General features: G+C 38.7%; 1 long non-coding RNA gene across 4 annotated transcripts; it reads left to right on the top strand.

The window, feature by feature from the left end:
• Window positions 1-2417: 2417 nt before the first annotated feature.
• LOC105379442 (uncharacterized) lies at window positions 2418-15242 on the top strand. Of its 4 annotated transcripts, XR_007061542.1 has the most exons (4): window positions 9682-9778; window positions 12822-12924; window positions 15043-15109; window positions 15206-15242. It is a non-coding gene; the product is annotated as an uncharacterized LOC105379442 (long non-coding RNA). The 4 variants fall into 4 exon arrangements; XR_007061543.1 differs by lacking the exons at window positions 9682-9778; window positions 15043-15109; window positions 15206-15242 and adding exons at window positions 2418-2492; window positions 13557-13886; XR_950656.4 differs by lacking the exons at window positions 9682-9778; window positions 15043-15109; window positions 15206-15242 and adding exons at window positions 2421-2502; window positions 13557-13886.

Below are 15242 nucleotides of genomic sequence, written 5' to 3'. Positions count from 1 at the left end.
ACAACAGTCTTTTCAATAAATGATCCTGGGAAAACTGAATAACCATATGCAGAAGGATAAAATTAAACCCATCTCACCATACACAAAAATCAAATCAAATAAAAATGGATTAAAGACTTGAATCTGAGACCTGAAACTATGAAGCTAGTAAAAAAAACAAAATAGGAAAGGCCGGGCGCGGTGGCTCTTGTCTGTAATCTGAGCACTTTGGGTGGCCAAGGCGGGCGGATCACAAGGTCAGGAGATCGAGACCACCCTGGCTAACACGGTGAATCTCCATCTCTACTAAAAATACAAAAAACAAAAAAAAAAATTAGCGGGGCATGATGGTGGGCGCCTGTAGTCCCAGCTACTCGGGAGGCTGAGGCAGGAGAATGGCGTGAAAAAAAAAAAAGAAAGAAAGAAAGAAAGAAAGCATAGGAGAAATGCTCCAGGACATTAGTCTGGGCAAAGATTTTTTTGCATAAGACCTCGGAAGCACAGGCAACAAAAGCAAAAATAGACAATGGGATTATATCAAACTAAAAAGCCTCAAGCAAAGGAAACAATCAACAAAGTGAAGAGCCAAGCACAGAATGGGACAAAATATTTTCAAACTATCTATCTGACAAAGGATTAACAAGTAGAATATATAAGGAGCTCAAACAACTCAATAATAAACAAACAAAAAATCTGATTGAAAAATGGGCTACTGAAGAGGCTGAGGTAGGAGGATTTCTTTTTTTTTTTTTTTTTTTTTTTTTAATGAGATGGAGTCTCGCTGTCGCCCAGGTTGGAGTGCAGTGGCGTGATCTCGGCTCACTGCAGGCTCTGCTCCCCCGGGGTTCACGCCATTCTCCTGCCTCAGCCTCCTGAGTAGCTGGGACTACAGGCGCCCGGCACCAAGCCCGGCTGATTTTTTGTATTTTTAGTAGAGATGGGGTTTCACCGTGTTAGCCAGGATGGTCTCGATCTCCTGACCTCGTGATCCGCCCACCTCTGCCTCCCAAATTGCTGGGAATACAGGCGTGAGCCACCGCGCCCGGTCAGGAGGATTTCTTAATCCCAGGAGTTTGAGGTTACAGTGAGCTATGATTATGCTACTGCCCTTTAGCTTGGGTGACAAAGCAAGACCTTACTTCTCAAAAAAAATAGTTAAAAATATATAAATAAATACAATTTAAAAATGGGCTAAAGATCTGAACAGATATTTTCTCAAAAGAAGACAAACAAATGGCCAATAGGAAGACAAAAAATATTCAGTATCACTAATCGTCAAAGAAATGCAAATCAAAATCACAATGCAATATCATCTCACCTTGGTTGAAATGACTTGTTTCAAAAAGACAGGCAATAACAGATGCTGGCAAGGATGTGGAGAAAGGGAAATACTAGTACACTGTTGGTGGGAATCCACATTAATAAAGCCACTATGGAGAATAGTATGGAGGTTCCTCAAAAAAGTAAAAATAGAACTACCATGTGGTCCAGCAATTTCTTTACTGGATATATATCCAAAATAAAGGAAATTAATGTATCAAAGACATATCTACATGCCGATGTGTACTGCAGCACTATTCACAATAGACAAAATATGGAATCAACGTAAGTGCTCATCAACAAATGAATAGATTTTAAAAGTCATATATATACATAATGCAATACTACTCAGAAACAAAGAAGAATGAAATTCTGTCATTCACAGCAACATAGGTGGCACTGGCCATTTGGTTTAACGTAATGAACATAGGCCATTATGTTAAGTGGAATGAGCCAAGCACAGAAAGGCAAATACCACATGTTGTCACTCATATGTGGGCAGTAAAAAAGTGGATCTCATGAAGATAGAAAGTAAATTGGTGGTTGCTAGAGGCCAGCAAGGGGAGTGGGAAGAGGAGATTAAGAGAAGAAAATATAAATGTATTTATCACCACTAAACTGTCCTCTAAAAATGTACAGATGGTAAATTATATATATATATTTTTTAACTCAATAAAAAGTTAAAAAAATTCTGCTGTGTGTTTATAGGGCACATGTACAAGACTTTCTCTAGGGTTGTATCAGTTTTCTATTCCTGCTGTAACAATTTACCACAAATTCAGTGGCTTAAAAGAACACATTTTTGTAAGATTTGAGTCAGTTTTAAAAAACACACACAGACTTATTGTCTTAGAATTGTTTTGGTTGGAAATCTGGCATGGCTCTCACTGAACTAACATCAAGATGTTGGCAGGCTGCATTTCTTTCTGAAGGCTCTAAAAGAGCATCTGGGTTGTTGGCAGAATTCAGTTCCTTGTGGTTGTAGATCTTCAGTTTCTTCCTGGTTGTAAACTTTGGGTCATTCCCAGCTTCTAAAGGTCACTGGCTTTTCTTGGCTTGTGGCCCCCTACCACTGTTTTAAAAGCCAGTAATAGCAGGCCACATCTTTCTCATACTGCCATCTGTCTGAATCTCAGCATCCAGAAAATATTCTCTGCTCTCAAGGAATTATGAGATTAGACTGGCTCACCAAGGTAATTCAAGGTAATTTCCCCATTTCAATGCCCTTAATGGTAATCACATCTGCCAAGTCTCTTTGAACATGCTAACTTACGTTAGCATGTTCACCTTATCTGAAGACTGGGATGTGGCTGTCTTTGGTGGGGGGCAATTATTCTGCCTAACCCAAAGATACACAACTTGCAGATATACAACTAGTTCATGGAGATGAAACATTTTCAAATCTACAAGAAAATGTTTTCTAAAATGAGCATTGCATATTAGACTTTCACGAGCACTGTATCAGACTTATATTTACTTCATAATATTGCCAATACTGATATCAGATATTTAATTTTCTAGCCAGTTCAGGATAATGTGAATTGTGAATAATATATTTGTTCATCCAGTCAACAAACATTTTTTATCAGATACCACCGATATGCTGGACAGTGTCATGGATCCTAAAAATATAGCTGTTATTATTATTTTTTAAAACAAAATCCCCACTGTGATAAAGCTTTTATTCTTTGGGACAGGCAGACAGTAATCCAGATAAATAAATGCAAGGGCAAATTGGGGGAAAAATTGGAATGGAGAGCTCAGAATCTGGCCCCAGAGAAGGGCAGAGGGAAAGGGGACCCAGTTCAGAATCTCGGTGCGTCCACACCAAACAATTCCATGAGGGCTGAAGAGACAGAGCTGAAAGGCTTGTCTGACATCACAAAAGACAGAAAAGTGAGCCCCATTTTCATCTCTATCCTGACAATGTTCCTGGCTTGATTTCCTCCTTCCAGCAGACACAAGAATCAGGGAGCGCACCCTGATGGTAACATTTTTTTCAGGGGCCTATTTTGGGGATCCTGGTGAGAACCTGAGTCCGTCACTGTCCACGGCAGCCCAGCATGGTCCCCAGTGCGTGGTCCAAGGCCAAGATTCTCTACCTCCATCCTGGAGGCAGAAGAAATGTCTGGGGGAAAATGAGAGGTTTTAGGTGGTTGGCACTGGGTGAGACCAAGGAGAAATTTTAAAGCTGTGTGTCCTGGGGCCGGGGGTGGTGGCTCACGCCTGTAATCCCAGCACTTTGAGAGGCCGAGGCGGGCAGATCACGAGGTCAGGAGATTGAGACCATCCTGGCTAACGGTGAAACCCCGTCTCTACTAAAAATACAAAAAATTAGCCGGGCTTGGTAGCGGGCGCCTGTAGTCCCAGCTATTCGGGAGACTGAGGCAGGAGAATGGCGTGAACCGGGAGGCGCAGCTTGCAGTGAACTAAGATCGCGCCACTGCACTCCAGCCTGGGTGACAGAAAGAGACTCCTTCTCAAAAAAATAAAAATAAAATAAAAATAAAAAATAGAAAAAGCTGTGTGTCCTTTGTTTCTTCATATTTTGCAGATTTTTGATGTTAAAATATTTTCATAGTCAAAAGAGTGTTAATAAAGAATGACTTCTCTGTTATAAAAACCCTAATAGTGAATGTATTTACCAAGAAATTAGATTCTATCTTTGGTTTTTTGTTTTTTGCCCCGTAGTTTTTAAAAAAATAGTTTTATTGTGTGGATATTCTACAGTTAGTGTATCTATTCACCTCTTGATGGACATTTGGTTTGCTTCCAGTTGTTTTTGCTATTTCAAATAAAGTTGCTACGAATGTTTGTCCAATCGTTTGGACATACACTTTCATTTGTCTTGGGCAAATAAGCAGGATTTGAATGACTAGGTGGTGTGATATGTTTAACTTTTTTTTTTTTTTTTTTTTTTGAGACGGAGTCTCGCTCTGTCGCCCAGGCTGGAGTGCAGTGGTGCATCGCGGCTCACTGCAAGCTCCACCTCCCGGGTTCACGCCATTCTCCTGCCTCAGCTTCCGGAGTAGCTGGGATTACAGGTGCTCGCCACCATGCCCGGCTAATTTTTTGTATGTTTAGTAGATATGGGGTTTCACCGTGTTAGCTAGGATGGTCTCGATTTCCTGACCTCGTGATCCGCCCGCCTTGGCCTCCCAAAGTGCTGGGATTACAGGCGTGAGCCACCGCTCCCAGCCAGTTTAACTTTTAAAGAAACTGACAAAGTGGCTGTATTTCCAGCAGCAGTATATGAGCATTCCTGTTCCTTTGTGTTCTCACCAATGTTTAGTATGGTCAGTCTTTTAAATTTTAGCTATTCTAATAGGCAAGTAACAGTATCTCATTGTGGTTTTAATTTACATTTCCCTAATGATGAATGATGTGCTTATGTATCGTCCATCTGTATTCTATGGTGAAATGTCTGTTCAGATCTCTACATTTGTGTTAGACTATTTGTTTTCCTATTATTGAGTCCTGAGAGTTCTTTGCATATTTTGGATAACAAATGTATCTTCACCAGATATAGCTTTTGTAAATTTTTACTCCCAGTCTGTGATTTGTCTTTTTATTCTCTCGATAGTGTTTTTCTTTTTTCTTTCTTTTTTTTTTTTTTTTGACAGAGTCTGGCTCTGTCACCCAGGCTGGATTTCGGTGGCACGATCTCGGCTCACTGCAAGCTCCGCCTCCCGGGTTCACGCCATTCTCCTGCCTCAGCCTCTACGAGTGGCTGGGACTACAGGCGCCCGCCACTACGCCCCGCTAATTTTTTGTATTTTTGGTAGAGAGGGGTTTCATCGTGGTCTAGATCGCCTGACCTCGTGATCCACCCACCTCGGCCTCCCAAAGTGCTGGGATTACAAGCGTTAGCCACCGCACCTGGCCTCTGGACAGTGTTTTTCACAGGTCAGATTAATTTTTATATAAATCATTTATTTTATTTTTATTATGTAAAATTTTATAATTTTTAATTTTATTTTTAATTTCCTTTTTAAAAGTTAAATAAAATTTTAAGTGTAATGATGCAAAATTTTGTTTAAAAGTAAATGTATATAAAAATGTTGATATAGACTAAAAAATTGAATAAGTAAGAAGGTAGTTAGTTGTCACAGTAGGAGTGAAGTGAAAAGCTTCCCCTTTCACCCTCTGAAGATTACCGGAAATGAACTGACCATACACAGATTAATAAAAGAAAGGGTATACAAACTTACATAACCTGCAAAAACATGAGAGCTATACACAAAGTATAAGACTTGAAGATGGCTCAGATCTTAAACGCTCTCCTCATAGGCAATAGATATATAGACCCAGGATGCAGACATTATTTTGTAAATAATTTCCTTTGGAAGCTGGATGGGACAGACAAATTACAGGAAGGTGAGAGATGGAACTGCACAGGAAAAAAGTTTGTCTTTGTCACTTTAATCTTATCATTACTAGAGAATATTTATGAATATTTTAGAATAATATATTTTTAAGCCCAAATCTCACCAAATGTTTTTTCTAAAACAAATACTTTTTGTTGTTGTTTGTTTTTGTTACTGTGTCTCACTCTGTCACCCAGGTATGGAGTGCAGTGGTGCAACCATGGCTCACTGCAGCCTTCACCTCCTGGGCTCAAGTGATTCTCCTACCTCAGCCTTCCAAGTAGCTGGGCTACAGGCATGCACCCTCATGCCCTGGTAATTAAAGAAAAAAAAATTTCGTTAGAGACCAAGTCTCATTATGTCACCCTGGCTAGTCTTGAACTCCTGGAATCAACTGATCCTCATGCCTTGGCTTCCCAAATTATTGGGATTATAGGTGTGAGCCACAGTGACTGACCACATATTTCTATACTTCACTGAGGAAAGGAAGGTGCTAGGAAAATTGGTTAAGAACTATTTTTTAAAAAGCTATTAGTAGTGTTTTATTTTATTTTATTTTTTAATGATTGATTTTTGAGATTGGGATCTCACTATGTTGCCCAGGCTGGTTTCACATTCCCAAGTTTAAGCAATACCCCTGCCTCAGTCTCCCAAGTAGCTGGGATGACAGGTGTGTGTCACCATACCCAGCTCCATTAGTAGCGTTTTTAACAATTGTGGGCCACTGAGTAAGAATAATTTTTTTTAAATTAAAGGTTATTTTTTAAAAAGCACATTTGTAGAAAATTACTAGCATAATCTGCCTAAAATAAATATACATATTGAAAAAATCTTTGCTCCGAACAAAAAGAAATATATTCACCACACATACATACATATACACACACACACATGCACACACGCACACACACACACACACACACACATTATGGAAGATTTCAAGACCAGGCAATAATTTCCACTCAATCCAAAAACAATGCAATCCCAGAGCTGAATATTTAGGTGAAAATATATCAGGAATGGGAGGCATTCAGGTTTAATTTTCATGTTTTGGTAGAGTTAGGATGTGAGTTTTCATTTAAAAATATTCTTTATTTTTTTTGCTACTATTGTGGTTTCTGTATTGTTACTATACAATCTGTAAACTAAATAGTAAAGGAGAGAAAAGTGATTTTCAAAGAAGCTGGCTTGGGAACAGGTACTATTCTGGGAAGATGAAAGGTTTCACTTAATGACTGGTACCTGTGCCACTCTGGTTATTTTAACTGTTAACCTTTTAGCAAGAGGTTTTTCTTTTAAAAGACATCCTTTAATATTTGGGAAGCTAGTGCAATAGTACACATTGAGGCACACATACCACATGCCAAATATTTAAAAGGCACATTTCTAGCTAACCACTGTACATACATATATTTTTTCTTATTTTCTGATTTTAGTTTTTTTCCTTGTCAACAATTTATGTCCACACATATCTTCTATCATCCCACTTTGACAAGTAATATTATACCTTCAAAATGATGTGGAAGACTAGATTGGAATTTAGAACCGTAGAACCTTGTAATTGTACAGGCAAGTTTCTTCCTGGGAAAAAATAAAACAGGAAGAAAAGGCTGGGCAGCCTCTGGTTCAGGAAGGAAATTCAGGAGTCCCTTATAGCAGCATCTCTAGTACTTGGGAACCGAACAGACTTCTCGGCCTGTGAGGCTGGAATGGGCCCTTCTGGAGAACACGACAGAGAAGTTATCTACTGCCTTTGCCCCCAGGGCCCAGGCAACACTTTTACCCTCCATTGTTTCTGAAGTTAAGGGGAGGAGACAATGTTTTGTTTAGTGACCTCGACAGAAAAAGTGTCCTCCTGCAACCACTCATTTGTTACTTTCCTTCTTCCTGAATTGCCTGGACCCACTCCTCCTCCATTTGACTGGCTCTGTGCACTGATCTTATAGTCAGGAGATTTTTGGGAATTGTGGCTTCTAAAAATGTACACCCGACTCTACCCATAGCTGGCCCTGTGAACCTACACACCTGCTCCACTGTGTATCCTTCTCAAAGAGACACTCTTCCTGCTGAGTCTCTGCCCTCTGCTCCTAGATCCAAATGGCATCTCCTACCCTATCCCTGTATGGTTTAACCTAGGGAAACTCTTTCCCAGAGGAGTCAGGTAAGGAGACAGTGGCTGAGCTTCTTACAGACTTAAAGGAGACATCCTGGAATTTAGGAGTCAGTCCTTCCTTTCTGTAATCCCTGGCAGCTCCTGCTGCTGCTCAAAGTTTAGCTTTGTCTCTCATCCAGCTCAGACTTTTGCTGGTCCTGATGGCCTCTGCTTAGCTGTATTAGTACGCTCTTGCATTCCTATAAAGAAATACATGAGAAATACCTTTAGTTGGCTCACAGTTCCATAGGCTATACAGGAAGCATGGTGGTTTCTGCTTCCGGGGAGGCCTCAGGAAACTTTTACTCAAGGTGCAGGGCAAAAAAAAACAAAAAACAACAAAAAAAAAAAACTACCAGCACTGCACTGTGAGGCCCTGATCCCTGAGCTAACTTCATATTATTACCTCTACAGCAAGTGTCCGTGAGAACATAGATATATTTCTTATGTGAGTACACAATTTACAGAAGAGGAACTACCCTCCCAAACCAAAACAAAATGTCATAATTTTAATTTACCAGCAAACCTAGGTTGCTTCTGTGAAATGATCTCATTTGCTGAGTTTTAAAATTGACTAAATTTCCCAATTTCCAAATGAAAATATTTAGTTGTCTTGCTATGTGTTTTTGGTTAATATGATGATTAATTTTTGGTCTATTACTTAATATATTCCATGATTGTTGATATGGATTATAAGGACTCACAAAATAGTTTTCAGATGTCTTTAAATTTTTTACTTAGTGTAGATCCTATAAATGGATTAGGAGTATTCTATTAACTCCCATGTATTCAGAAATCGAATTGGAGTGGTAAATTCTGTTTGAAGTAACAAGGGATATCAAAGGAAAAAAATAATTTTGTGACTATGTCTTCTATACGTAAATTTTTCAGGCATCTTTATCAATGGCTTATACTAAAGACATTTTCTGGATCATGGGTGACACACAGAAGACCTGTGGATAAGTGGCATTGTGTACACTACTGCATTTTATCATCTGGTTCATTTTTCAACTTTTATTTCTCTTAAGGATGTTTTATTAACTGGTGCATCACCAGGTTACCAGTCTCTGGAACACTAAACTTACCAGAAAATACTTGTTGATTGAATTAACAAGAAAACAACATTAGAAAACAGTGGTGGCTTGTTTTTGTCCATTGCAGTATCTTGGAGAGTAAAGCCTAACTCTTTAATTTTGGCCAAAGATATAAAGAAATACCTGAGAAACACCTTTAGTTGGCTCATGGTTCCGTAGGCTATACAGGAAGCATGGTGGTTTCTGCTTCTGGGGAGTCCTCCAACACTTACTGGCAGGGTAATTTTGAAGAAGTCATAATAAGATGGTTGTTACAATTAAATGAAATAATCAAAGTGGAAGAGCTTAGTTAGCTGTCTTCCCTAAATGAATCACTGGCAAGTAAGAGTGTGATTGATTTTCCTACCAGTCAGGACTCACCCCTTGAAGCTATAGGAGGGTAAACCTCTGAAGACCATACAATTTAGGGAACACTAACACCTCAAAAACCTCTGTAAACTTCCTTCCTTCCTTTTCTTCCTTCCTTCCTTCCTTCCTTCCTTCCTTCCTTCCTTCCTTCCTTCCTCCTTCCCTCCCTCTCTCTCTCTCTTTTTCTTTCTTTGTTCATTTCTGAGACAGAGTCTTGCTCTGTCATTCAGGCTAGAGTGTAGTGGCTGGATTATGGCTCACTGCCGCCTTGACCTCCTAGGCTCAAGTAATCCTCTCACCTCAGCCTCCCTAGTAGCTGGGACTATTGGCATGCTCAGCTAATTTTTTTCTCCTTTTCTTTTTGTAGAGACAGGGTCTCATCATGTTGCCCAGGCTGGTCTTGGACTCCTTGGATCAAGCAATCCTGCTGCCTCAGCCTCCCAAAGTGCTGGATTACAAGCATGAGCCACTGTGCCCAGCCTTAAGTTTTTTTCATACAGGAGGAAAGAATTTGGAAAGTAGGTGTGTGTGTGTGTGTGTGTGTGTGTGTGTGTGTGTGTGTGTGTGTGTGTTGGTTAGGGAGCCAACACATTTTTCTGCAAAGCTTGAATTCTATGCCTCAGTTTTTCATTTTTGTTATGTGCAAAATAAAATCGTATCCTGCTATAGATTTAAACCTGTGAGCGAATCCTACTCAAAACCTGATTCAAACTTTGTGTAGATCTTTGCCTCTCTGTGGCATAAGAATAAATTCTTCTGGTTTTCTTCCCTCAGAAAAATGGACTTAGACTTCCCACAAGCCTTCCAGAAAGAACTCACCTGCCTTATCTGCCTGAATTACCTCATAGACCCCATCACTATAGGCTGCGGGCACAGTTTCTGTAGGCCCTGCCTCTGCCTTTGCTGGGAAGAAGCACACACTCCTGCCCTGCATGCAGGGAATTGTCACAGCAGGAAGATTTCAACCAATATTCTTCTGAAGAATCTAGTGTCCATTGCCACAAAAGCCAGTCTCTGGCAATTCCTGAGCTCTAATGAACAAATGTGCGGGATCCACAGGGAGACAAAGATGTTCTGTGATGTGGGCAAGAGCCTGCTCTGTTTTCTGTGTTCTAACTCTCAGGAACACTGGGGCACAGAAACACTGGCTCACTGAAGGGGCAGCTAAGGAACACTGTGTAAGTGATGACTCAGAGCACTTTGAAAGCTGGAGGGCAGCACAGGTAAAGAGATTAGGAGGAAGATGAAGAGCACGAGGATTAATCTATTCTTTACCGAGTGTCATGTACTGCCTAGGTATCAGTGATATAACTATTATCCTGCTATCAAATCTACTGATAAGTGGCTCATTTAACTTATAGGCACTCATCACAATGCAAGAAATCCTCTGACTGCTCCTACCATCATGGCCCCTAGCCATGATATGACTTGTCTCCACACTAGCAGAAACTAATCGAGTCCCTATATTAGGGATAAGTGGCATTTATATATATATATATATATAATTTTTATATATAAATTTTATATGATATATAAAACATAAATATTTATACTATATTATATACATATATACATACATATATATTACATACATATATACATATATATATATATATATATATATATCACAATGCCAAAAATGTTTTGTCTTCGAAATAATCACAGTGCATTTGGAGAGACAAATGCATCTACAACCAGGCGACAACACTGAAAATAAAATTGTAGCAGTTTGAATAGGGGATTAAATGAGTTAATTTTTTCCTGGGGTTCAAAAAAAGAAACAGCAGCAAAAAATGGTACTTAAGATTGAAAGTTGGCCGGGTGCAGCTACTCATGCCTGTAATCTCAACACTTTGGGAGGCCAAGGTGGGCAGATAACCTGAGGTCAGGATTTCGAGACCAGCCTGGCCAACATGGCGAAACAACACCATTACTAAAAATACAAAAATTAGCTGGGCATGGTGGCAGGTGCCTGTAATCCCAGCTACTCGGGAGGCTGAGGCAGGAGAATCTCTTGAACCCAGGAGGCAGAGGTTGCAGTGAGCCAAGATCACGCCATTGCACTGCAGCCTGGGTGACAAAAGCAAAACTCCATCTCAAAAAAAAAAAAAAAAAAAAAGAAAGTTCTGGGTTATGACACAGAACATATGCAACATGAATATGTCATGGTTATGAACATGTAGACTACTCAAGATTGTGTATTTTTAAAATAATAGAATACTAGGTTAAAAAATTAGCATTACAGAATGAAAAATAAGCCACAAATTAGCAGAAGATAATTGTAACACATAAAAACAAAAGATTAAATACAATGGTAATGTAATGATAGCTATTCTTACAAAGTTGTTTCTATGTCTCAGGTACTATTCTGAACAACATACGTGCATCTTGAATGCGTGAAGAATTCCTATATAAGAAAAACACAAACAACAACATTTAAAATGAGCAAAAAACCCGTATAGGAATTTCACAGAAGAGAAAACATAAATGGCCCATAAACACAATAAAAGATGCTCAACTACAATTCTAATCAGGGAAATAAACATTAAAACCCCAAAGAGATACCACTTCATACTCTAGGAAAAACCTAAAAGGCTGTGAATATCTAGTTTCATTGAGGAAGAACAATGGGAAGACTATTCACTGCTGGTGAGGGTGTAGATTGGTACAACTGCCTTGGAGAACAGTATGATGCCACTCAATAGAGCTGAACACACACATGCCCAATGACCAAGCAATTCCACTCCAGGTACATACAGGAAAAATACTCCTGCACAAGTAGAATAGGAGACACTGCATAACAAAGTTCACTACAACATGAGGCTGAGGTGGGAAGATGGCTTGAGACCAGGAGTTCGAGGCTGCACCAGTAGCTGGGACTATAAGCATGTGTCACCGTGCCTGGCTAGTTTTTTGCTGTTGTGGTTGTTGTTAGAGATGAGGTCTTCCTTTATTGAACAAGCTGGTCTCCAACTCCTGGCTTCAAGTGATCTTCCCACTTCTGCCTCCCAAAGTGCTGGGATTACAGGTGTGAGCCACCATGCCCAGCCAAGTTCTGCTTCTTAACCTGAGGTAGATACTTTGATGTTTCATTTTCCTTTATTGTACAGATATACTTTATATTCTCATGTGACACAAGTCAAAATTTAAAAAAACAATTTAATGTTTATTCCCTTTAGATGAATGATGGGCAAATTTACATAATGAATTCATTACTGAAACAATGTATAGATTTCAGACTAGGAAAGTAACTATTTATAAAAGAAAAGCTTAAAACCTGAAACAGAAACAAAATCCTGAAACTGTAAAATTGAGTCAAACTAAAATTTAAAAAACAAAGCAATGATATAAAGTATCATTTGTCCAAATGTGTTCTACAAAATGCTTTTTTCTTAAATATGTCTGAGGAAAAACAGGTTCTAGGAGTAAAATATGTTTGAAAAATGCTGAGTTAAACAACTGAACCTATGAAGGAAGGAATAGAACTTCTCAAGCTCTTGACTCTGGAATCTTTTTTACATGGCAATTAACACCATGCTTCTTCTTGGATTTGTATTTCAGATAAACACAATCTGGGAAACATTTTATAATACAGAGGGCCACACCAGATTGAATATTGCCCCCAGGAATGAAATGAAAACAGGAATGGATTCTCCAGTAAGAGGTACCCAGATATCCTAATCTTCAGTAGCTGACCTGAACCCTGGACAAGTGGGATCAAATCCCATAACCAAACACAACTTTTTAGGAACTAAGTGGATAATCACTCTGTGTTGTATGAACATGTGGGCAGTGTGTTTCCTACACAGCTTAAAAGTGCAACAAAAAAAGATCTAGGTGTCATATAAAGAATTTCTACCACTGTTAGGGTAATGGTGGACTGACAGGCAGAGGGTCTCAGATGTGACTTAAGTAAAGTTCAATAGAAGCTTCCAGCACAGATATTCATGTTTCAAATTGGACCGCTCAGTTAAAAAGTTTTCCCATTAGACTTCCCCTAATCAAATTAGAAATTATCTAATTTTCTAATAAAGTTTTCCCCAGGCACAAGGAATCTGTGAACTGGACCTAAAAAATTCTTCGTAATGTGCTTTTATTACCATAAAAGATGCACATTTATTTTAAAAACTTCTCTACACCACTATCATAAACCTTTGCACACACTTATTTCTTTTGGAAACTAACTTCTGAGTGGTAATGAAATATATTCTTAAGAAAAAAGTCCGACACAATGCCTTTGCGTCTTAAAATATGTTAAAATATTATTTGAAAAGAGTCAAACATCTGTCTTTTCAGGGTATCACAGGGCGTCAAACTGGAAAATGTGGCACTGCCTGGAGTTTCTACCTGGTGAAGGGTGGCAGACTTTTCTCTTCAGAGGACTCTTGACAGGGTAGCATCCATTATCTTGCCAATTTACTACAACCTAGGCCCAATCCTCAGTCTTATAGGTTCAGAAATTTATTTTTATCAGCATCAACAGGGTAGCTACATTGCTTAGAAGCAAACAAAATTAACCATGCTTCAATAGAAATCAGGATATAGATGTATTAATACAGAATGACAAATATAACTGTGACAGAAATAGGAATGCCTGTTTATGGTCATATACGGCCAATACTTTCATTACAGCCAAACTCATACATGCAGCCAAATAAGAGGCCCCTGGATACACAGGGAATCAGAATAAAAAAAGAAGAACTGAACATTTAATAGTCTTCTTTCATTCAATCAATAATTTTTTTTAATTAAGCAACTACTATGTCCGGGTAACCTTCTAGGTCCTGGGGATACAGAGGTCTCTGCTTACAGAAGTCATATGTAAGTAGCAGGTGAAGAGTATGTGTTTCACAGAAGTTTATTACAATATATTAACAAGAGCAAAAAATTTTGGAAGCAATCTAAATGTTCAATAATAGAGCTCCAATTAAATAACAATAAATCCAAATAATGAAAAATAATGCAGCCCTTTAAGAATAAGCACTTGCAAGCCGTAATTCATGACATGGGAAAATTATCATAATGGAAAAAGAAGCAAGCTATATATAGTGCATGATCCTATACACACACATACATACATACATATTTCCTATCCCTTTATATGCATAAGAAAACAAGCGGGAGGAAAGTCATATCTTTAGTCAAGTCTTGTTTACTAACGTACTATTAATGATTATCTTTTCTTTTTCTTTATACTTTTTGCATTTTTCAATTTCCTAAAATAGCCTTACATGCCTTTTATCACCAGGAGAAAAATTACTTCTAAAGTAATTTCAGTCAACATGCATACTAAGAACTCTTCAGATTTATCTGTTAGAAGCTGTGCATGAATGCCAGTCCTTGCATCTGTCTTGGAACTCACAGAGAGCTCTTTTCCCATGGCTTTAAGCAATACTCAAAAAGACTAGCATACCTGAATTTCCTAGTCCTATGTTTTTTTCATCCAACAGCCAGTCTTGTATTTCTAGCTGTTTTCTAAACATTTCAACCAAACCATTTTACAGATAACTCATACAGTCATCCTTTGATATGCATGGGGAATTGGTTCCAGGATCCCCCTTGTATACCAAAATCTATGGATGCTCAAGTTACTGGTATAAAATAGTGTAGTATTTGCATATAACCTGCACACATCCTCCTATATACTTTAAATCATCTCTAGATTACTTAATAACAATTAATACGATGTAAATGCTATGTAAATAGTTGGTATACCATGTTGTTTTTTATTTGTATCATTTTTTATCATTGTATTGTTTTTTCTGACAATTTTGTTCCACAGTTGTTTGAATCGGTGGATGCAGAACCCATGAATATGGAGAGTCAATTGCATTTTATTATGCCCAAAGGTAAATGCATAATTTTTCCACACAGCTAATCTTCTAGCAACCCCATTGCTGTCCATGGCAAACAGGCTTAGTTAATCTCGCCCTTTCCCGTTTCAGGTTCATTATACACCATGGAATACTATGCAGCCATAAA

The sequence above is a fragment of the Homo sapiens genome, chromosome 9, assembly GCF_000001405.40.
Source record: "Homo sapiens chromosome 9, GRCh38.p14 Primary Assembly".
Lineage (NCBI taxonomy): Eukaryota > Metazoa > Chordata > Mammalia > Primates > Hominidae > Homo > Homo sapiens.
The sequence above is the reverse complement of the archived record's forward strand: the minus strand, read 5'-3'. Positions and strand labels throughout refer to the sequence as shown.